Below are 22,268 nucleotides of genomic sequence, written 5' to 3' on the forward strand. Positions count from 1 at the left end.
GGGTTCAAGCAGTTCTCCTGCCTCAGCCTCCCGAGTAGCTGCCTCAGCTTCCCGAGTAGTAACATTAAAATGTTTAATTTTAACATTACTTTATTTAACCCAGGGCATCTGGAATGATACTATTGCAATCCATAAACAACAGGAAAAATTATTGGTCTATTGGTCGGGTGCAGTGGCTCACGCCTGGAATCCCAGCCCTTTGGGAGGCTGAGGTGGGAGGATCACTTGAGGTCAGGAGTTTGAGACCAGCCTGGCCAACATACTAAGACCTTGTCTCTACAAAAAAATTAAAAAATTAGCCAGGCGTGGTGGCGTGAACCTGCGGTCCCAGCTACTCAGGAGGCTGAGGTGGGAAGATCGCTTGAGCCCAGGAATGTGGGGCTCCAGCGAGCTGTGATTGTGTCACTGCATTCCAGCCTGGGTGACAGAGCAAGACTTCAACTCAAAAAAAAAGTTATCGAGGTATTTTATGATCTTTTCCCCACCCACCCCCCACCCGCTTACACTAAGTCTGAAATTTGGACAGACCACATTTCAAGCACTGGATGTCACACGTGGCCAGGGGCTGCTGTATTGGGCAGGCCGTGCTAAGACATCTGAGTTCCAGAGCAGGGGTTCCCGACCCCCGGGCCACAGACGGGTTCCGTGCCTGGGAGGAACCTGGCCACTCAGCAGGAGTTGAGCTTAGGGCAAGTGACCATTCTCACCTGAGCTCCACCTCCCGTCAGATCAGCGGGCGGCTCTGGGTGCCCCTACGAGCATGAACCCCATGGTGAACTGAACATAGGAGGGATCCAGGTTGCGTGCTCCTTAGGAGAATCTGACTAATGTCTAATGTCTAGTTTCATCCCAGAACCATCTCCCCACTCACCCCGTCCCTGGAAAAATTGTCTTCCATGAAATCGGTCCCTGGGGCCAAGAAGGTTGGAGGCTGCTGTTCCAGAGAATTCGGAAGCAGATCTCCAGTCTCCCAAGTTGGGTTCTCGAAAACGTGAGGGCAGGTTCTAGACCTTCCAAACTGGTTGCTTGAAAATCCAAGGAGGCTGGGCGCGGTGGCTCACACCTGTCATCCCAGCACTTTGGGAAGCCGAGACGGGCGGATCTCCCGAGGTCAGGAGTTCGAGACCAGCCTGGCCAACGTGGTGAAACCCCATCTCTACTAAAAATACAAAAATCAGCCAGGTGTGGTGGTGCACACCTGTAATCCCAGCTACTGGGGAGGCTGAGGCAGGAGAATCACTTCAATCCGGGAGGCAGAGGCTGCAGTCAGCAGAGATCGCACCACTGTACTCCAGCCTGGGCAACAGAGTGAGAATCTAACTCTTTTGCCCAGACTGGAGTTCAGTGGTGCAATCACAGCTCACTGCAGCCTTCAACTCCCAGGTTCAAGTGATCCTCCCACCTTAGCCTCCTAAGTCGCTGGGGCTGGGATTACAGGCGCATACCACCATGGTTGATTTTTTTTTTTTTTTTTTAGTAGAGATGAGGTCTCACTATGTTGCCCAGGCTGGAGTGCTGTGGTGGACTCATAGCTCACTGCAGCCTCAATCTCTCAGGCTCAAGGGATCCTCCTGCTTCAGCCTCCCAGGTAGCTGGCAGTATAGGCGTGCACCACTACGCCTGGCTGATTTTTTATTTTTATTTATTTATTTATTTACTTTTTGAGACGGAGTCTTGCTTTGTCACCCAGGCTGGAGTGCAGTGGCGCAATCTTGGCTCACTGCAACCTCCACCTCCCGGGTTCAAGCGATTCTCCTGCCTCAGCCTCCCGAGTACCTGGGATTACAGGCGCGTGCCACCACACCGGCTAATTTTTGTATTTTTAGTAGAGATGGGATTTCTCCATGTTGGCCAGGCTGGTCTTGAACTCCTGACCTCGGGTCCCAAAGTGCTGGGATGACAGGCATGAACTACCATGCCCGGCCTTATTTTTATTTTTCGTAGACAGGAGGTCTCACTATGTGGCCCATGCTGGGATTTCAGGCTCTTTGAGCTTTCTTCCATATTGGTTAGGGCTGGAGCAGGACTCCACTGTGGCGGGAGGTATTTGGGCGCAAGGAGAGCAGTTGTGAGGACTGGTGGTGACCCCCAGTTACTGTCTGTTGTGCTTTGGATGCTGGGCACGGGAAGCCTGGCTGTAAGTGTGTGTTTCCGGGCCGGGCGCGGCGGCTCACGCCTATAATCCCAGCACTTTGGGAGGCTGAGGTATGCGGATCACGAGGTGAGGAGATCCAGACCATCCTGGCTAACGTGGTGAAACCCCGTCTCTACTAAAAATATGAAAATATTAGCCAGGCGTGGTGGTGGGCGCCTGTAGTCCCAGCTACTCGGGAGGCTGAGAGAGGAGAATGGTGTGGACCTGGGAGGCGGAGCTTGCAGTGAGCTGAGATCGTGCCACTGCACTCCAGCCGGGGCAACAGAGTGAGACTCCGTCTCAAAAAAAAAAAAAAAAAAAAGTGTGTGTTTCCAAGAGGCTGTTATGGGGCCTCGGGCACACCCTCACTGGGTCTGGATCCCAGCCTGTCTACCACCAGGCGTCCCTTCTGGTGAACAGAGCTATGTGAGAACTTCCAACAGGGACACCACGGCCGCTCGTAGCCCAGAGCTTGCAGAGCTTTGTTCAAAGGCAATGGCCCAGGGCCGAGCACGGCGGCTCACACCTGTAATCCCAGCACTTGCAGAGGCCAAGGTGGGTGGATCACCTGAGATCAGGAGTTCGAGACCAGTCTGGCCAACATGGCAAAACCCTATCTCTACTAAACCTACAAAAATTAGCTGGGTGTGGTGGCACATGCTTGTAGTCTCAGCTACTCGGGAGGCTGAGGCAGGAGAATCGCTTGAACCCAGGAGGCAGAGGTTGCGGTGAGCTGAGATCGCGCCATTGCACTCCAGCCTGGTGACAGAGTGAGACTCCATCTCAAACAAACAAACAAACAAAAAAGCAGTGGCCATCATGATCGGTTGTGTCATCTAGTGGGAGGCAGGGGTGTGTCTGCATGCGTGTCTGGGGTGCATTGTGGGGGGATTGCAGGCGTATTGAGGGCTTACCAAGTGCCTGGCTCATCTGAGCCCTCAGGAAACCACATTGTTGGCAGCTACCTCACCGTCTCACAACCACCCGCTGAGGTTGGAATGATCATTAACAGCATTTAACAGATGGGGAAACTGAGGCCTAGAGAGGCAAAGTCACTGGCCTAAGGTCACATAGCTAAGGAGCACAGTCAGGATTTAAATCCAAGCCTGGGAGATCCCAGGACCCACAGTGGGCACCACATAAAGGGGCTGTTTGGGGTATGGCAGGGACTGCCCTGGAACGTTCCGGATCCTGCCTTTGGGCCTACAGGGCTTTGGTGCCGGTGAGCAGGCCGCAGGTTCAGCTGGCTCAAGGAGCAGCTTCAGGGCTGCAGCCAGGCTGGGGGCTGGGCAGGTCTCAAACCCCTGGACCTGGGGAATCAGGGAGGTGTGAGCTGCATCTGAGGTCGGGTGTCTCTGTGACTCTGTCTCTGTCTCTCTACCTCTGATTCTCCCCAGGCTGCCTTGTCTCAGTCCCTGTCTATTCCCACCCCACCTCGCTCTCTCTCCCGGCCTTGCGAGTCTCCTCCCAGCCCCCCATCCCACCCAGTGGGCTGCCCGGAGGTGGCGGCAACGGGGCAGCTGAATGGGCCTCTTGTTCCTGGCCACACCCGCCCCTTGGGGTCACCCTGGGACATGCCCAGGCAGCGTGGCTACCTTAAAGGGCCAGTGCTCAGAAAGAATGTGAGCGGGGGAGGCTGCGTCCACTCCCAAATCCCACACCCTCCCCAAGGTGGACCACTCATGTGTCTGACGGGGGTGGGGAGCTGTGTACCTACACACCCTCGTGGCTTGGGGGAGGCCTGTCTGGAGCAGGAGATGTGATAGGGTTTGGGTTTGACCTTGGATAAATCCCTTCATCTCTCTGTGCCTCAGTTTCCCCATCTAGATCAGGGGGCTCCTTGGTGCCACCCCTGTGGGTTGCTGGGCAGATGGCATATTATCCAGGATTTTGCACACAGTTGACACTCTTCCGGCGCCCACTGTGCATTGATAGAGCACCTGCTGTTTCAGCCCAGCATTCATCCGCCGTGCAGACTTGGCAATTCCTTCTTCACCTTGCTCCGTGCCTCAGTTTCCCCAAATGCAGAATGAGGCGATGGCTGTCTTAGCTTCACAGAGAGCTACGCAAGGATTGAGTCGGTTCGTGGAATTAGAGGGTATTAGGGAGAAGGGCCTGAAACACTGCCAAGTGTCACCTCCACTGGCGCACTTATTGAGCGCCAGCTGCATACCAGGCCTTGCTGAGGAAGCCTCACTGCAGAGGTTGCAGTGAGCTGAGAGGCAAAGGCCACCCAGCCTGGATCTCACTCTGGTGTCATCGCCTCCTCCCTCTGCTCAGGGTTGTGCAGCTTCAGGCTGCTCCCCTGCCCTCTCTGGGCCTCAGTTTCACCTTCAGAGCAACGGGAACAGCCCCATCCTTTCACACACTGGAAACCATCACCTTCTTCTGCCTGGGAGGGGGTTGTGCTGTCTCTGGGAATCCCAGGCATCCCCCAGGCAGGAGTCAACCCAGAGGCCCTCGGACCCGGGCTGTACCCTGTGACAGCTCCGGGTGGCTACGACGCTCCCGTGCTCCAGGCCAGCCCCACAGACAGCCCGGGACAGGTTGCTGCCGGATGGACAAGCCTGTGCCTCGCTGCCTTATGTAACCAGTTTATGCAAGGGCAGCCGGCCCGCTTACATAAGGGGAGGCCGGGCCAGCGCCCAGCTGGGGAGGGGGAGGCTCTTAAAGGGACCGGCGTCCCCCGCGGCTCCCTCCACGGGCACTGGTGCGAATTCATAGGCGAGCTGCGGACTCCGCCCTCAGCAAGGCCGCCATTAATGTCGTTATGATTATTTTTGTGGATGTTGTTTATCATCACTATATTCTTTCCCCAGGGCGGGGGTTCAGCTGAGCGGAGGACCACGCCCAGTGCTTGGGCAGAGGCTTGGGCTGTGACGCTGGCTCTGGGTGTCACCTGGTTAAGTCCCTGTCTCTGAGCCTCAGCCTCCCCTTCTGCACAGTGGGGCAATGCAGGAAGACGTGAGGTCCTGGAGGGTCCTGGCCCTGCTGCCTGTTCACTGTGTGGCCTCAGGCAGGTGGCATCCCCTCTCTGGGCCTCAGTTTCCCCATCTATAAAATAGCGCCTGCTCTGTGGGGTTGCTGAGGGAGAGTCAATAAGACATATTAAGAGTTTACATGCCCGCCAGGCATGGTGGCTCACACCTGTAATCCCAGCGCTTTGAGAGGCTGAGACGGGAGGATCACTTGAGGCCAGGAGTTCAAGACCAGCCTGGGCAACATAGTGAGATGCCCATCTCTACAAAAAATAAAACTTAGCCAGGCATGGTGATGTGTGCCTGTAGCCCCAGCCACTCGAGAGGTCGCGGCAGGAGGATTGCTCAAGTCTGGGAGGTTGAGGCTGCAGTGAGCTGTGATTGGGCCACTGCACTCCAGCCTGGGTGACAGAGCAACACCCTGTCTCAAAAAATAAAAATAGGCCAGGCATGGTGGCTCATGCCTATAATCCCAGCACTTTGGGAAGCCGAGGAAGACAGATCACTTGAGATCAAGAGTTCCAGACCAGCCTGGCCAACAAGGGGAAACCCCGTCTCTACTAAAAATACAAAAATTAGCTGGGCGTGTGGTGGGAGCCTGTAATCCCAGCTACTGGGGAGGCTGAGGCAGAAGAATCACTTGAACCTGGGAGGCGGAGATTGTAGTGAGCCGAGATCGTGCCACTGCACTCTAGCCTGGGTGACAGAGCAAGACTCCATCTCAAAAAATAAATAAGTAAATAAAAATAAAAATAGGCTGGGCACAGTGACTCACACCTCTAATCCCAGCCCTTTGGGAGGCTGAGGCGGGAGGATCGCTTGAGCCCAGGAGTTTGAGACCAGCCTGGGCAACATAGCAAATCTCTGTCTCAAAAATTTTTGAAAACAAAAGAGTTTAGGACAGCACGGAGCACAGACACTGTCAGCACTCATCCAGTGGAACCACTTTGCAGCCAATAAATATTTAGTAAGCTCCTACTGTATGCCAGGCACTGCTCCAGGCGCTGGGATACTGCAGTGAACAGGACAGATAAAAATTCGGCCCTGGCCAGGCACGGTGGCTCACACCTGTAATCCCAGCACTTTGGGAGGCTGAGGTGGGCGGATCATGAGGTCAGGAGATCGAGACCATCCTGGCTAACATGGTGAAACCCCGTCTCTACTAAAAATACAAAAAAAATTAGCCAGGCGTGATGGCAGGTGCCTGTTGTCCCAGATCCTCAGGAGGCTGAGGCAGGAGAATGGTGTGAACCTGGGAGGCGGAGCTTGCAGTGAGCCGAGATCACGCCACTGCACTCCAGCCTGGGTGACAGAGTGAGACTCTGTCTCAGAAAAAAAAAAATTCTGCCCTCGTGGAACTCACAGTTTGGTTCAGGCGATGGGCAAAGAACAAGAAATAAATGTCAGTTTAGGCTTAGTGCGGTGGCTCACGCCTGTCATCCCAGCACTGTGGGGGGCCGAGGCGGGCAGATCACCTGAGGTCAGGAGTTCAAGACCAGCCTGGCCAACATGGTGAAACCCCGTTCCTACTAAAAATACAAAACATTAGCCAGGCATAGCGGTATGCGCCTGTAATCCAGCCACTGGCAGGGGCTGAGGCAGGAGAATCGCTTGAACCCGGAAGGCGGAGGTTGCAGTGAGCCGAGATTGTACCACTACACTCCAGCTGGGGCCACAGAGCGAGACTCCGTCTCAAAAAATAATAATAATAAAAATAAAAAGAAATAAATGTCAGTTTAGCGATAAGGACTATCAAGAAAAATAAAGAAGGCCAAAGGAAAAGAGGCTGATGGGCTGTGCTGGGGAGGTCCCTGAAAGGCTGTCTGAGGACCTGACATTTGAGCTGAGACCTGAGAAGTGAGGAGGAACCAGTTATATGAAGAACTGGGGGAAGGCGTTCCAGGCAGAGGGCACAGCCCGTGCAAAGGCCCTGCGGCAGGACACACCTGGCACTTTGGAGGAACAGTGAGGAGGCCTGTGTGGCTGCAGCAGAGTGAGGAGAGGAAGAGAAGGAGGAGGGGAGGGCAGTTTGTGCAAGGCCTGGTGGGCAGTAGGAAGGACTTGGGCTTTGACCCCAAGGCAGGTGGGAGCCATAGAGGGCTATGGGCAGAGGAGGGACCAGCCCTGACTCAGGTGCTCACAGGCACCCTCTGCCTGCTGCAGGGAGGACAGACTGTGGGGGGTGAGGGCAGGAGCTGGGGACCAGGGCAGAGTGGACCGCCCTGGTGCAAGCAGGCGGTAGCAGGGACAGAGGCAGAGGAGGGGGCAGAATCCAGGTCAACTCCGACGGTGTGAGGATTCAGTTGCTCACCTGGGTCGTTTATACCTTATCTGAGGCTGGCCCTTGCTCTCCTTGCCCCGTCTCCTGCCTGCAAGCCGCACCTGCCTGGGCACATGCAGGGAAGGGAGCGGCGCAGCACTGGGCACGCCTGGGAGCTCTCCTGCAATCAGGACTTTGTTAGCGGGCAAGCTGGGATATGGGTCCTGGTGCCCGGGAGGCCCGTGGGGCTCTGGGCTCCTGCCAGGGTCCCAGCCCTAACCCAGGTACGCCACCCACATGGCAGGGTTATTCTCTTTTTTTTTCTCTTTTTTTAGACAGAGTCTCGCTCTGTCACCCAGGCTGGAGTGCAGTGGTGCGATCTCAGCTCACTACAACCTCTGCCTCACAGGTTTAAGAGATTCTCCTGCCTCAGCCTCCTGAGTAGCTGGGACTACAAGTGTGCACCACCTCACCCAGCTAATTTTTGTGTTTTTAGTAGAGACGGAGTTGCACCATGTTGGCCAGGCTGGTCTCAAACTCCTGAACTCAATTGATCCAACCGCCTCGACCTCCCAAAGTTCTAGGATTACAGGTGTGAACCACCGTACCCAGCCTATTCTCATTTATTTTCTTTCTTATTTTTTTTTCTTTTTTTTGAGACGAAGTCTCACTCTGTCACCCAGGCTGAAGTGCAGTGGCACGATCTCAGCTGACTGCAACCTCCGCCTCCAGGGTTCAAGCAATTCTCCTGCCTCAGCCTCCCAAGTAGCTGGGACTACAGGCATGTGCCACTATAGCCAGCTAATTTTTGTATTTTTAGTAGAGATGGGGCTTTGTCATGTTGACGACCAGGCAAGTCTCGAATGCCTGACCTCAGGTGATCCACCCAGCCTCAGCCTCCCACAGTGCTGGGATTACAGGCTGGAGCCACTGCGCCCAGACGGTCCTTCCTTTTCATGCCTCCTCCTTCCACTCCCCCATGTACCATGTCTCCTTGTCTCTCTTTTTCTCTCTGCTCATCCCTCCCTCTCAACTTTCTTTCTACAAATATTTATTGAGCACCTAGTCTGTATCAGGCCTTATTCTAGCCACTGAGGGCACAACAGAGATCTAGACAGACAAAGCCTCTGCCCTCAAGGAGGTGACATTCCACTGGGGAGATGAGCAAACACCCGTGCAGTCACTAAGCAACTAAGCAAATCCATAGGCAATCACTAACTTCCTCTGAAGGAAAGAAAACAGAAGGCTGAGATTGAGGGTAGCCAGAGGCTGCTTGAGGTGAAGGGGCTCAGCGTAGACCTCTCTGAGAAGGGAGCATTTGAGCTGAGACCAGGAGAGATCTCAAGAGAGAGCAAGCAGTTAGCTGTTTAGACAGAGGGAACAGAATGTGCAAAGGCCCTGAGGCAGGACTGGGCCAGGTGCATTGGAGGAACAGCGAGGAGGCCCCTGTGGCTGGAGCAGAGTGAGTGAGGGGGAGAGAGGGAAGAGGGGAGGGCAGAAAGCGGACAGGACAGGTTGTGCAGGGCCTGTGGTCCTAGTCCTCCACTTTGACTACTCCCCCAAATCTCTTAATGTTCCTCACATTCCTTTCCCTGACAAGCATTTATTTTGCACCTGCTGTATACCAGATCCTATCAGGAGAATCCCAAATATTCATGCAACAAGTTCATATTGGGTGCCTACTGTGTGCCAGGCTCTGCTGGAATAATCACACTCATTTGGCTGCAGGCATTTATTGAGTGCCAGCTGTGTAAAAGCATTTATCGAGCACCACCTGTGTAGCAGGCTCTGGGGAGAGAGGCCACATGAAAGCTTGGGAAGGAGAAAGTTTCCTTCTACCCCCTTTCAGGTTTGTGCCCTCTGGTTTCCAGCCCCCTCCCACATTCAAGGCAACATTTAAACCTCTGGGTTCAAGTTCCGTTGTCCAACTGCGTGGCCGTGAGATCTGCGGCAAGCCCCTTCCTCTCTCGGATCTTCCGTTTCCCCCTTTGTAAAGCAGAACACTCCACAATCTGATGTGTTTACAACTTGACATCTACTTTTTGCAGCAAGGGAAACTGAGGCACAGAGCAGGGCGGAGATGTGTCTACCTCTCCCTCCCCAAGCAAGACTGGCATGGAGTCTATTCTCCTGACCCCACGCCAAAGCCAGGGCGTTTGGTATTTTGTTTTTTCTTGGAGGCCCAGAGAGGGGCAGGGCTTGCCTGAAGCCACACAGCACCGGGCAGGCCTCGGAATTGCGGAGAGCCCTCCCCTGGGCGCCTGCCCGGGCTCCCGCGCCTTCCTCCTGCCTCCTTTGGCTGGGCCGCCAGCCTTGCCTCCCGTCCTCCGGACTCCCCGCGGGCTGCCCAGTTGGAGACGCGCCCCAAGAAATATCAGAAGGAAGGGGAAGCCGGGAGGGGCCTCCGCCTCCTCCCGCCACCCCCCGCCGCGCCCGGCTGCCCCCACCCGGTGCCCGACATTGGCAGAGAGTGTCCTCGGGCGCTTCCGACTGGCCCTGCCTGCTTCGTGTGGCCACTGATCCCTTCCGGAGCCTCTCCATGGGGACGCCCGTGTGTGCGCTCAGCCAGTGGCACATGTGGCTCCCGGGGCTCCCTTCTCCACCCCCCCAGCCCCTGGCCTGCCCCTTTCCCCCCATCCCTTCCCGAACCTCTCCATGGGGACGCGTGCGTGTGCGTTCAGCCCGTGGGCACATGTGGCTCCCAGGGCTCCCCCCGAGGCCTGCCCTTCTCCCCCCCCCGTCACAGCCGCCGAGTCAGGCCTGCCAGGAAGGTGTTGGGGGTGGGGGTGTGGGGAGGCCTCAGCTTGGCTGCTGGGAAGCCAAGAATTTGCTCCAAATGTAAACAGCGAGTTATTTTCAGTCCACTCCCCCCCACCCCGGGTGGCGTTGACACATTTGACATTGGCGGGACCGGGAGGGGGTGGGGGTGAGGGTGTGCGTGCGGGTATTTTTAACCTTGCTCCTCACATCCCTGGAGTGGCTGGTGCCGAGTGGCAGATAATGGGGAGGGGGCGCGGAGGCGTGGGGAGCCCTGGGTGGCCGTGCGCGGGTGGGCGCTTGGCAAGGCCGCCCTGCTGTTGGCACCACGTGTTTAACCCCTCAGAGGCTGCAGAGGGGCTGGGGGAGGCGGCCCAGGGCCCAGTGGTGCCCCAGAGGCTCCCTTGTCACCTTCTCCTGGTGTCCCCCCACCCCCACCCCACCCAGGAGGGCAGGGCCGGGTGCCCGAGGCCGGTGCCAGCCTGCGCCGCCCAGACCTACAAAATGGCCGCCAAGGCCGGAGAAACATCTGGAACAGGGGAAGGGAGAGGCGAGAAAATGGCCGCCAGAGGGATGATGTCATGGGCGGCGTGGCCTCCCAGAGCGTCCCCAGCACGGGGCGAGTCCCTACGCGCAGGCCTCCGAGCAGGGGCCCTGCGGCCTCCAGGGACCTCCAGACCCGCTGCCCAGGCCGGACACCCACAAAGAGTGACACCGGGGTCCCCAGGGGTCCCCAGAGGCGGGCCCGAGACCTGGGGGAGGGCGAGGCCAGCACTGGGCCTCCAGTCCCAACAGCCCGATGCTGGGGACGGTTCCGGGGCGGTGGTGGCCGCTGACCTGACCCGCAGGACACCGAGGCGTCCACCAGCGCCCGGGAGGGCCCGGAGCCAGGCCATGGAGCCGGCGGGGGCCGGGTGGAAAGAAAAAAGAAACTTTTCTTTGAAAGTGATTCCGAAGCAGGTTGGCTCCGGCCCAGGCGGCCCGGCGGCAGGGGAGAGGGAGATGGAAAGTATGGGCCAGACTTAAGGAACGCAGGAAGGACGAGGCCGGGGAGGCCCGGGATGGAGGCCAGCGTCCTGGAGGTCACCCCGTCCACGCCTCTGCCTCTCGGGCCCCCCCAGGTCACATCCAGATTTTCCTCCCTGTCCCTGGGGCGGGCGGGGAGTGCGGAGAACATCTATGGGCTTGTGTTTTTTCCTCTTTTGATTTGTCCAGACAGGCGATGGACAAGGGCTGGGCAGGGGTTTTAGGTCATCTGCACTGTCAGGATGTGGAGGCTCAGAGAGGGAGAGTGCTTTTAGTGAGGTCACACAGCACTGGCAAAACTGACAGCTGCTTCCCTCCTTAGAGCATCTTGGGGAGGAGGAAGTTCTCTATGGAGGATCAGGGTCCGTACTGGAATTCCTTTCTATTTTTATTTAATTTAATTTATTTATTTATTTATTTATTTTTGAGATGGAGTTTCACTCTTGTTGCCTAGGCTGGAGTGCAATGGCACGATCTCGGCTCACTGCAACCTCCACCTCCTGAGTTCAAGCGATTCTCCTGTCTCAGCCTCTTGAGTAACTGGGATTACAGGTGCCTGCCACTACACCCAGCTAATTTTTTTGTATTTTTAGTAGAGACAGGGGTCTCACCATGTTGGCCAGGCTGGTCTCGAACTCCTGACCTCAGGTGATCTGCCTGCCTTGGCCTCCCAAAGTGCTGGGATTATACGTGTGAGCCACCGCGCCCGGCCCCTTTTTCTTTTTCTTTCTTCCTTTCTTTTTTTGAAACAGAGTCCTCCTGCTCTGTCACCCAGGCTGGAGTGCAGTGACTTGATCATGGCTTACTGTAGCCTCAACCTTCTGGGCTCAAGCAATCCTCTCACTTCAGCCTCCTGAGTAGCTGGGACCACAGGCATGTACCACCATGCCCAGCTAAATTTGGGTTTTGTTTGTTTGTTTGAGACAGAGTCTCACTCTGTTGCCCAGGCTGGAGTGCAATGGCACGATTTTGGCTCACTGCAACCTCCACCTCCCAGGTTCAAGCGATTCTCCTGCCTCAGCCTTCCAAGTAGCTGGGATTACAGGCACCCGCCACGATGCCCTGCTAATTTTTTGTGTTTTTAGTAGAGATGGGGTTTTGCCATGTTGCCCAGGCTGGTCTCGAACTTCTGACCTCAAGTGATCCGCCTGCCTTGGCCTCCCATAGTGCTGGGATTACAGGCATGAGCCACCGTGCCCTGCCTATTTTTTTTTTTTTGTAGAAATAGGGTCTCACTATGTTGCTCAAGCTGGTCTCGAACTTCTGACCTCAAGTGATCCTCTTGCCTTGGCTTCCCAAAGTGTTGGGATTACAGCGTGAGCCACTGTGTCCAGCCAATGTCTGTGTGTTTTTCACTGCTCTGTCCCCAGTACCTAGGACAGGGCATGGTACACAGTAGGCGCTCAAGACGTGTGTTGGATAAAAGCATCACAGTTTTCTCCTGAGGCTGGGGTTGGCACAGATGCTGGCACAGGAAGGGGGCAGAGGCTCAGGAAATGCAAAGTAGGTTGCAACGTAACTGGACACACACGGGAACCCTGTGGTCACATTTTTCAGGAGGGATGTGAGGAGGCGAAAACTCAAACTTCCCTCACTTCAAGTGCAGATTCTGTGCCGGGAGCTGTGGACGATAAACCACATTTGAACAGAAGCCTGAATAAAGCGAGAGAGTGAGCCAGGCAGGCATTTGCAGGGACGGTGTTCCAAGCAGTGTGCACAGCCCGTGCAAAGGCCCTGAGGCAGGACCGTGCCTGGTGCATTGGTGGAACAGCCAGGAGGCCTGTGTGGCTGGAGCAGAGTGAGCGAGGGGGAGAGAGGGACGAGGGGAGGAGGGGAGGGAGGGGGCAGAGGCGGGCTGTGCAGGGCCTTGAGCGCCATGGGGAGATGGGGAGAACTTGGACTTTTAGATATTTGGTTTTCTGTTTTTTGTTTTTTGTTTTTGAGGTGGAGTCTCGCTCTGTCGCCCAGGCTGGAGTGCAGTGGTGCGATCTCGGCTCACTGCAAGCTCTGCCTCCCGGGTTCACGCCATTCTCCTGCCTCAGCCTCCCGAGTAGCTGGGACTACAGGCGCCCGCCACCACGCCCGGCTATAGTTTTGTATTTTTAGTAGAGACGGGGTTTCACTGTGTTAGCCAGGATGGTCTCGATCTCCTGACCTCGTGATCCACCCGCCTCGGCCTCCCAAAGTGCTGGGATTACAGGCGTGAGCCACCGCGCCCGGCCCAATTGTTTGGTTTTGTTTTTGCTTTGTTGTTGTTGTTTTTGAGATGGAGTCTCGCTCTGTCACCCAGGCTGGAGTCACTGGTGCAATCTTGGTTCACCGTGCCCTCTGCCTCCCGGGTTCGAGCAATTCTCCTGCCTCAGCCTCCTGAGCATCTGGGATTACAGGCATGCACCACCACGCCTGGCTAATTTTTGTGTTTTTAGCAGAGACGAGGTTTCCGCCATGTTGGTCAGGCTGAGCTGGAACTCCTGACCTTGTGATCTGCTCGCCTTGGCCTCCCAAAGTGCTGGGATTACAGACGTGAGCCACCGCGCCCGGGTGAACTTTCACATATTTGTAGACCCAGACACAGTCCAGGGTGCTGGGGACTAGAACAAACGTTTGCAGAAAGGGCTGGGGAGGGTGTTCCAGAGAAGGAGATGTCAGAGCTGGGCTGCAAAGTATGGCTGGAGGTTTCCTAGGAGGGAGAGGGGCAGGGAAGACGGCACAGCAGGAGCTCAGAGGACTCAGGCCCAGGTCACTCGTATATTCCATTGCCTTCCAGGACAGAGAAAGTTGAACCTTCGCCGGGTAATGTTTAAAAATGGCCGGTGACACCCAGTAGCTGGGAATTCCAGGGCCTGGCTTTGGTTCTCTCTTTAGCTGGCTGAGGTTGGGAGGCGGACGTGGCAGCCGGCAGAGCCAGCAACATTTGGAAGCCGGCTAACGTTGGAAAATCAACCAGGCGAGCTCACGGTGGCGGCCGATGCTGGAAACCTGGGCTCCGTGAGGTCCAGCAGATGCCCTGCTGGGGCCCAAGTGGACATTCTAGGCCTTCTGACAGCCCGCCGGGTTTTTAAATAAGTGTGATTATGGTTTCAGCAAGTCCTGTCCTTCCTACAGCCAAAAGATCAATTCAATATGGCCACTCCGTGCAATGCTGGGCCACCCCTGCTGGGCCAGGGTGTTGTGTTGAAGCCAAGATTCCCAACACCTGAGAGTCCAGAAGTTTCTTTAAAAATTGCTTTAACTGTGGTGAGACACACATCACACACTTTTTTTTTCTTGAGACAGGGTTTCACTCTGTCACCCAGGCTGGAGTGCAGTGGCACTGTCATAGCTCATCGCAGCCTCAAACTCCCAGGCTCAAGCAATCCTCGCACCTCAGCCTCCTGAGCATCTGGGACCACACATGCAGCACGCACCACCACACCCAGCTAATTTTTATTTTATTTTATTTTATTTTTGAGACGGAGTCTCACTCTGTCGCGCCAACTCGGCTCACTACAACCTCCGCCTCCTGGGTTCAAGCAGTTCTCCTGCCTCAGCCTCCCGAGTAGCTGGGACTATAGGCGACCGCCACCACACCTGGCTAATTTTTGTATTTTTAGTAGAGACAAGGTTTCACCATGTTGACCAGGTTGGTCTCGAACTCCTGACCTTGTGATCCCAAAGTGCTGGGATTATAGGCGTGAGCCACCGCCCCTGGCTGACACCCGGCTAATTTTTAAAAATATTTTGTAGAGATGGGGTCTTGCTATGTGGTCCAGGCTGGTCTCGAACTCCTTGCCTCAAGTGATCCTCCCACTTCAGCCTCCCAAAGTGCTGGAATTACAGGTGTGAGCCACTGTGCCCGGCCCAGAGACTTTTGAAAGTCTAAAATGGATTGTATCATAGCTCACATCACTCCTCTTCCCACTGCAGGATAAAACCCAGGCCTCTCACTGCAACACACAAGGCCCCGAATGGTCCCGCTCCCCTCTCCGTTCGTTCCTCTTTCTCTTGCCCACCACGCTGCAGCCTGGGGTCTGTCTCTGCCTTTCACACATCCAACTTCATTCCTGCCCCGTGGACCTTGCCCTTGTCACCGAACCTTTGTGGAACGCTTTCACCCCAGCTCTCCACATGGCTGGGCTCCTTCTCCCGCTGGAGAGCCACCGTCACATCCTCAGAGAGGTTCTGCCTGAGTCCTCCCTCCAACGCCGCCCCCAAAGCCATTCTGCCTTCCGCCAGTTTCATTGCCTCCGTAGAACCTAGAACCGTGTGAAATGATCTGAGGCTTCCTCCATGCACTGGTTCTGCCCGTCTCCCTCCCCACTTCCTTCTCTGCCATCCCCCCAAGGCCTGGCGAGTAGTAGGTGGTCAGTAAACACCTGTTCCGTGAGTGCCGGGTGTGCGTTGACCTCCCAGTCACCAACGGCGGAAGCTTCAGCCAGCGGACGCAGGGAGTTGTCCCTTGCAAAGGGGGTGGGTGCTCCCGGGCGGGAAGGGTGGGGCCAGAGCCCACGGCGATGCCTTTGTCATGAGCTAGGATGGACTGAATTTGGGCTCACAGCCACGGACAGGAGAGAACAGTGTGTCCGCCCCGTCAGTGCCATCCAGCGTGCGTGGCTGTTGTGCATCATTTGTTTGCTTGAGCAAAGGCTACAGGGTCCAGTGACATTCTTGGCAGTCCATGACACCTCACAGACCTGGGAAGTCAAGAGACCTGGCTCCCGGCCAGATGAGGGTATCATTTGAAATACAATTTGCTGGCCGGCTGCGGTGGCTCGCACCTGTGTTTCCCCTACTTTGGGAGACAGAGGTGGGAGGATTGCTTGAGCCCAGGAGTTTGAGTCCAGCCTGGGCAACATAGCGAGACTGCGTCTCTACTTTTTTTTTTTCCTGAGACGGAGTCTCGCTCCTTTGCACAGGCTGGAGTGCAGTGGTTCGATCTCGGCTCACTGCAAGCTCCGCCTCCCGGGTTCACGCCATTCTCCTGCCTCAGCCTCCCGAGTAGCTGGGACTACAGGCGCCTGCCACCACGCCCGGCTTTTTTTTTGTATTTTTAATAGAGACGGGGTTTTACCGTGTTAGCTAGGAGAACAACAATTTGCTTTCCAGAACCAGAGCCTCTCAACACTAGCATGTGTGTGGTCATCCATGCTAAATGGTGCTGAAAGAGGCATTTGTGTCTCTCTGAGAAGGAGCTATTTGAGGAAAGTCCTGAATGAGGGGAGAGAATGAGCCATGTAGATAGCTGAGGGAACAGTGTTCCAGGCAGAGGCGCAGCCCGTGCAAAGGCCCTGAGGCAGGACCATGCCTGGTGTGTTGGAGGAACAGCGAGGAGGCCCCCGTGGCTAGAGCAGAGTGAGGAAGGGGAGACAGGAAGGAGGGGAGGGCAGGGAGGGGACTGATCGGGCCATGCAGGGCCTTGTGGGCCACGGGAAGAAGGTGGGCTTTTCCCCGCAAAGAAGGTGGGAGCTATGGAGGGCTGCGGGCAGAGGAGGGGTAATGTTCATTTAACTCCTGGAGTTTGACAAAATGCTATCATCAAAACAGACTTTATCACAGAACCTCTAGCTATCCCCGTCCCCTCCGTAAGCTCCTCTGAGCATAGCAACAGAACGGGAAGGTAAGGCAGCGATTGGAAACGCCCGCGTTATAGATGAGCGGAGAGCCGCTGGAGGTTGGAGGCTCCGACAGAGGAGGTGACTGGTCCAGAGCCACATGGCCAGGTTGTGCTGGGGCTGGAACTCCATCGAACGCAGGTTTCAGGGTGCAGCCCTTGTTTCCATAAGATACCCCAAAATCAGACAAGCCTGGGACTTGCCACCTCTTCTTTAAAAACCCCAGTGCTGTTTTTGTTGTTTTTTTTGAGATAGGGTCTCCCTCTGTTGCCCAGGCTGGAGTGCAGTGGCTCAATCATAGCTCACCCACTGCAGCCTTGACCTCCTGGGCTCAAGCAGTCCTCCTGCCTCAGCCTCTTGAGTAGCTGATACTACAGGTGTGCATCACCACAGCCAGGTAACTTTTTTTTTTAAAGTAGAGATGGGGTGGGGTATCCTGTATTGCCCAGGCTTGTCTCAAACTCCTGAGCTCAAGTAATCCTCCCTCCTTGACCTTCCAAAGTGCAGGAATTATAGGTGTGAGCCACCATGCCCAGCCCTCCAGTGCTTTTTTTTTTTTTTTTTGAGACGGAGTCTTGCTCTGTTGCCCAGGCTAGAGTGCAGTGGCACGATCTCGGTTCACTGCAACCTCTGTCTCCCGGGTTCAAGCAATTCTCCTTCCTCAGCCTACCGAGTAGCTGGGACTACAGGCACACACCACCATGCCCGGCTAATTTTTGTATTTTTAGTAGAGACCAGGTTTCACCGTGTCGGTCAGGCTGGTCTCGAACTCCTGACCTCCAGTGATCTGCCCTCCTTGGCCTCTGGGGATTACAGGTGTGAGCCACCACTCCCGGCCCTCCAGTGCATTTTAAAGGCTCTGAAAAGTCCTACGTTGTCCTGAAAACTCCTCAGTGATGCTGAACCTTTTTGACCTGTGAACCCCAGGTTTGGGTAAAGTCTGCTCACATCCGGCGGCACACCCATAGGAAACCCCCAGCCCGGCTGTGAGGAGTGTGAACTTTGATTCACCAGGTCCTTGGCCCAGCTTTAGTTTCTCCCGTGTCCGTGTTTGCTTGTGCAATCATGAATATATATTGACCAGCACCAGGTGCCACATTGAACAGTTTGTCCGCGCCGTCAGTGCCATCCGGCATGCACGGCTGTTGTACATCATGTCTTTGCACTGGACTGAGCTCAGCTGCAGAAAGCAGCACATTTCAGAGGGTGTCTACCGGGCCAGGAGAAAACACACAAACCGCCAACATTTTAAAGCCTGTAATCGACATCGTATACAATTGGAAAAGATGTTCATTTATATGTTTTGTTTTTGTTTTCTTAAGACAGGGTCTCAGTCTGTCACCCAGGCTGGAATGCAGTGGTGCGATCATAGCTCACTGCAGCCTGGAGCTCCTGGGCTCAGACGATCCACCCACCTCAGCCCCCAGAGTAGCTGGGACTGCAGGCACAGGCCACCACGCTGGGCTAATTTTTAGATTTTTGTAGAGATGGGGTCTTGCTCTGTTGCCCAGGCTGGAGTGCAGTGGTGTGATCTTAGCTCACTGCAGACTCAAACTCCTGGATTCAAGCCATCCCCACCTCAGCCTCCCAAGTAGCTGCGACTACAGGATGTGCCACCATGCCCAGCTAATTTATTTTTATTTTTATTTTTGCTAGAGAGAGTGTCTCCTTATGTTGACCAGGCTGGTCTTGAACTCCTGACCTCAAGCAATCCTCCTGCCAAGGCAATCCTCTCAAAATGCAGGGATTACAGGTGTGAGCCACTGTGCCCAGCCTGTTCATACGTTTTAAAGAGAGGTGCAGACAAAACTGGGTTGGTGCATCCACATCCCTCTCTGTGTGATGCTGGGTAATTTGCTTACCCTCTCTGGGTATCCTGGAGATTGTCAGCCCCAGCCAAGGATGGTTAAAAGGCATTAAACAATACCTAGGACAGAGCCTGACATCTGGAGCTCATTAAACCATCCGTACATGCAGATGTCGTTATAATTATTATCAATGCTATTCTGTCACTCCACACCCTGACTCCCACCTCAGTGGCCCCAGGTGGGGGTGCTCTGAAATTTCTCTGGCCTGGCTGAGCGGGAGGGGCCGGGGTTCTGCTGGAATAAAGAACAGAGGAGGAAGCCTTGAAGGATTTGTTCTGTCCCAGCTGTCCCCAGTATCACAGTTAGCCACACGGATGGCAGAAGGGACCTTTGACAGTGGACACAGGGGCTGGAAGGGCCCAGCCTGGGGCTCACTGCAATCTCCGCCTTCCAGATTCAAATGATCCTCCTACCTCAGCCTTCCGAGTAGCTGGGATTACAGGTGTGTGCCACCACACCCGGCTAATTTTTGTATTTTTAGTAGAGATGGGGTTTCACCGTGTTAGCCAGGCTGGTCTTGAACTCCCGACCTCAGGTGATCTACTCACCTCAGCCTCCTAAAGTGCTGGAATTACAGGCATGAGTCACCGTGCCTGGCCTTGGGGCTTTATCTGACTGGCTAGAGAATGGGATTCAAACACCAGGAATCATCCCAAACCGCCAATGAGAAGGAGCCCTGGAGTGAGGGGAACCGAGACCCCTCCTAAAAGGATTTACAGGGTGTCACAGAATCAAAATTACAGCAAAGGCTCAACTGTGAGATGCCAGGGTGGCTGATCATTGATTCTAGACCCATCACTACCAGCTGGTGTTCTGTGAGTTTGAAGCCATTGCTGTCTAGCTTTGTGCCTCAGTTTCCCCAGCTGGCGATTACCGTCCCCCATATGGGGACGGTAATCACGTGTCTGCTGCAGAGGAGTTACAAAGATTTGTGAGGCAATGGAGGCAACATTTGCAGCCGAACCTAGTCAAAGGAATTACTCACTGCGCATTAATTTGTTGTTTTTTGAGATGGAGTCTCGCTCTGTCTCCCAGGCTGGAGTACAATGGCGCGATCTTGGCTCACTGCAGCCATCCCCCGGGTTCAAGCAATTCTCCCGTCTCAGCCTCCGGAGCAGCTGGGATTACAGGCACGCACCACCACGCCAGGCTAGTTTTTGTATTTTTAGTAGAGACAGGGTTTCGCTATGTTGGCCAGGCTGGTCTCAAACTCCAGGCCTCAGGTGATCCTCCCACCTCAGCCTCCCAACCTCCCTAGCATTTCAACGACCTGAAGTGACCCTCTTGATTTATTTTCTGACTTGTTCATTTCCTGTCACGTTCCCATTAGAACATCAGTGCCTCGAGAGGAGGGATTCTTGTCTGTCTCTGTTGCCGCTGTGTCCCTTGGGCGTCTGGCATCCGGGTGGCTCTCTGCAATCTGTTTGCTGAGTGATCAAAGGAAAGAACTAATGGCAACATAGTGCAGCTCCAATGTACAGATGAAGAAATCCAGGCTCAGAGATGTGGAAGTACTTGCCCAGGGCCACACAGCCGGAAGCCCGCCAACTCTTTTAGTAAAGGGCCAGTGACACTGTAAACATTTTAGGCTTTTAGGCAGGTCACATGCAGTCTCTGTTGCCTATTTTTTCTTTTGTTTACGACCCTTTAAAAATGGAAAAGACAGGCCGGGCGCGGTGGCTCACGATTGTAATCCCAGCACTTTGGGAGTCCGAGGCGGACGGATCACGAGGTCAAGAGTTCGAGACCAGCCTGACCAACATGGCAAAACCCTGTCTCTACTAAAAATACAAAAATTAGCTGGGCGTGGTGGCACGTGCCTGTAGTCCCAGCTACTCTGGAGGCTGAGGCAGGAGAATCACTTGAACCCGGGAGGTGGAGGTTGCAGTGAGCCGAGATCACGTCACCGCACTCCAGTCTGGGAGACGGGGCGAGACTGCATCTAAAATAAAATAAAATAAAATAAAATAAAATAAAATAAAATAAAATAAAATAAAATAAGGAAAAGACCATACTTAGCTGACTGTGCAAGAATAGGCAACCCCTTCTAGTTTGCTCATCTAATGTCAGAACCCACGAACTGATTCCAAAACCCTCCACAGAGAATCTAAAATGCTGCAAACCCCGACTCTGTGATGCTGGGGATCTAAAGTGCTTAGTTTGTTTTTTTGTTTTTTTGTTTTTTGTTTTTTTGTTTTTGTGTTTTTTGAGACAGAGGCTCGCTCTGTGGCCCAGGCTGGAGTGCAATGGCATGATCTCGGCTCACTGTAACCTCTGCCTCCTGGGTTCAAGCGATTCTCCTGCCTCAACCTCCCAAGTAGCTGGGATTACAGGTGCCTGCCGCCACACCCGGCTAATTTTTGTATTTTTGGTAGAGACGGGGTTTCTCCATGTTGGCCAGGCTGGTCTGGAAATGCTGATCTCATGTGATCCAACCGCCTCAGGCTCCCAAAGTGCTAGGATTACAGGTGTGAGCCACCGTGCCCTGCCAAGTGCTTGGTTCTTTAGTCTGGAGTGCAGTGGTACGATCTCGGCTCACTGCAGCCTCCACCTGCCAGGTTCAAACAATTCTCCTGCCTCAGCCTCCTGAGTAGCTAGGACTATGGGTGCATGCCAGCACACCCAGCTAATTTTTTTTTTTTGGTACTTTTAGTAGAGATGGGGTTTCACCATATTGTCCAGGCTGGTCCCAAACCCCTGACCTCAAGTAATCCTCCTGCCTCGGCCTCCCAGAGTGCTAGGATTACAGGTGTGAGCTCTACTGCGCCCGGCCAAGTGCTTGGTTCTTTCTCGACTCAATCCTATTTTGTTCTACACAGGTCAGGTCTGCCTCCACTCCCCCAACCCCATGCCCCATTTCACCCATTGGCCTCTGAAGCCCAGAGATGGGCAGGGGTTTGTCTGAGACCACACAGCAAGAGGGGCAGCAGAGGAGGATGGGAACCCAGATCTGCTTCCCTCCCAGGCTACACCCCTGTAGCCCCCCAACCCCTGCAAACTTGTTATTTAAGCCTCCTCATTACAGGGGTTTGGAGCCGAGGAAGCCCTGCTGCCTTTTCGTAAATGCTCTCCCTAGACAGCAATCTTTGATGGAGGCTCTGGGAGAAGTTGTTCAGTGATGTGCATTTGTCGAGCACCTACTGTATACCTGGTGCCAGTATAGGGTTGGGTGGAAGGGTCTTGTCCACTCAACACCCCTTTTTCTGCCCTATTATTGCCTTCCCTGGCCAGGCGAGGTGACTGACACCTGTAATCCCAGCACTTTGGATGGCTGAGGCAGGAGGAGCGCTTCAGCCCTGGAGTTTGAGTTCAGCCTGGCCAACATAGTGAGACCTCATCTCTACAAAAAAATGTTTGTTAAAAATTAGCCAGATGTAGGGCCACAAGCCTGTAGCCCCGGCTACTTGGGAAAAGAAGGCAAGAGAATCACTTGAGCCCAGGAGGTCGAGCCTGCAGTGAGCTATGATGACACCACTGTCCTCCATCCCGGGCCACAGAGTGAGGCCCTGTCTCAAAAAAAAAAAAAAAATCAAGACCATGATTGCCCCCCCATAAAGAGCCCTTTTAAACATTTTTTCCCTAATCACTCTCCTGTGAAATTTTAATAGCATAGGTATATTTTATATACCTATATATATTAAAAATGTACCTGTG

At 54.6% G+C, this 22,268-nt stretch overlaps 1 protein-coding gene across 5 annotated transcripts in view, besides 1 other annotated feature; it reads left to right on the plus strand.

Annotated features, from left to right (window-relative positions):
- NFIC (nuclear factor I C) overlaps positions 1–22,268 on the plus strand; it is a 109,588-nt gene that overhangs the window by 34,406 nt on the left and 52,914 nt on the right. The window lies entirely within an intron of this gene.
- Positions 17,696–17,990: a silencer, noted in NCBI's record as "tiled region #10296; K562 Repressive non-DNase unmatched - State 17:Gen3'". NCBI's record gives its function as "represses a minimal TATA promoter and a strong SV40 promoter by Sharpr-MPRA in K562 cells {active_cell/tissue: K562}" and the evidence as "EXISTENCE:reporter gene assay evidence [ECO:0000049][PMID:27701403]".

The sequence above is a fragment of the Homo sapiens genome, chromosome 19 (assembly GCF_000001405.40).
Source record: "Homo sapiens chromosome 19, GRCh38.p14 Primary Assembly".
NCBI classification, from domain to species: domain Eukaryota; kingdom Metazoa; phylum Chordata; class Mammalia; order Primates; family Hominidae; genus Homo; species Homo sapiens.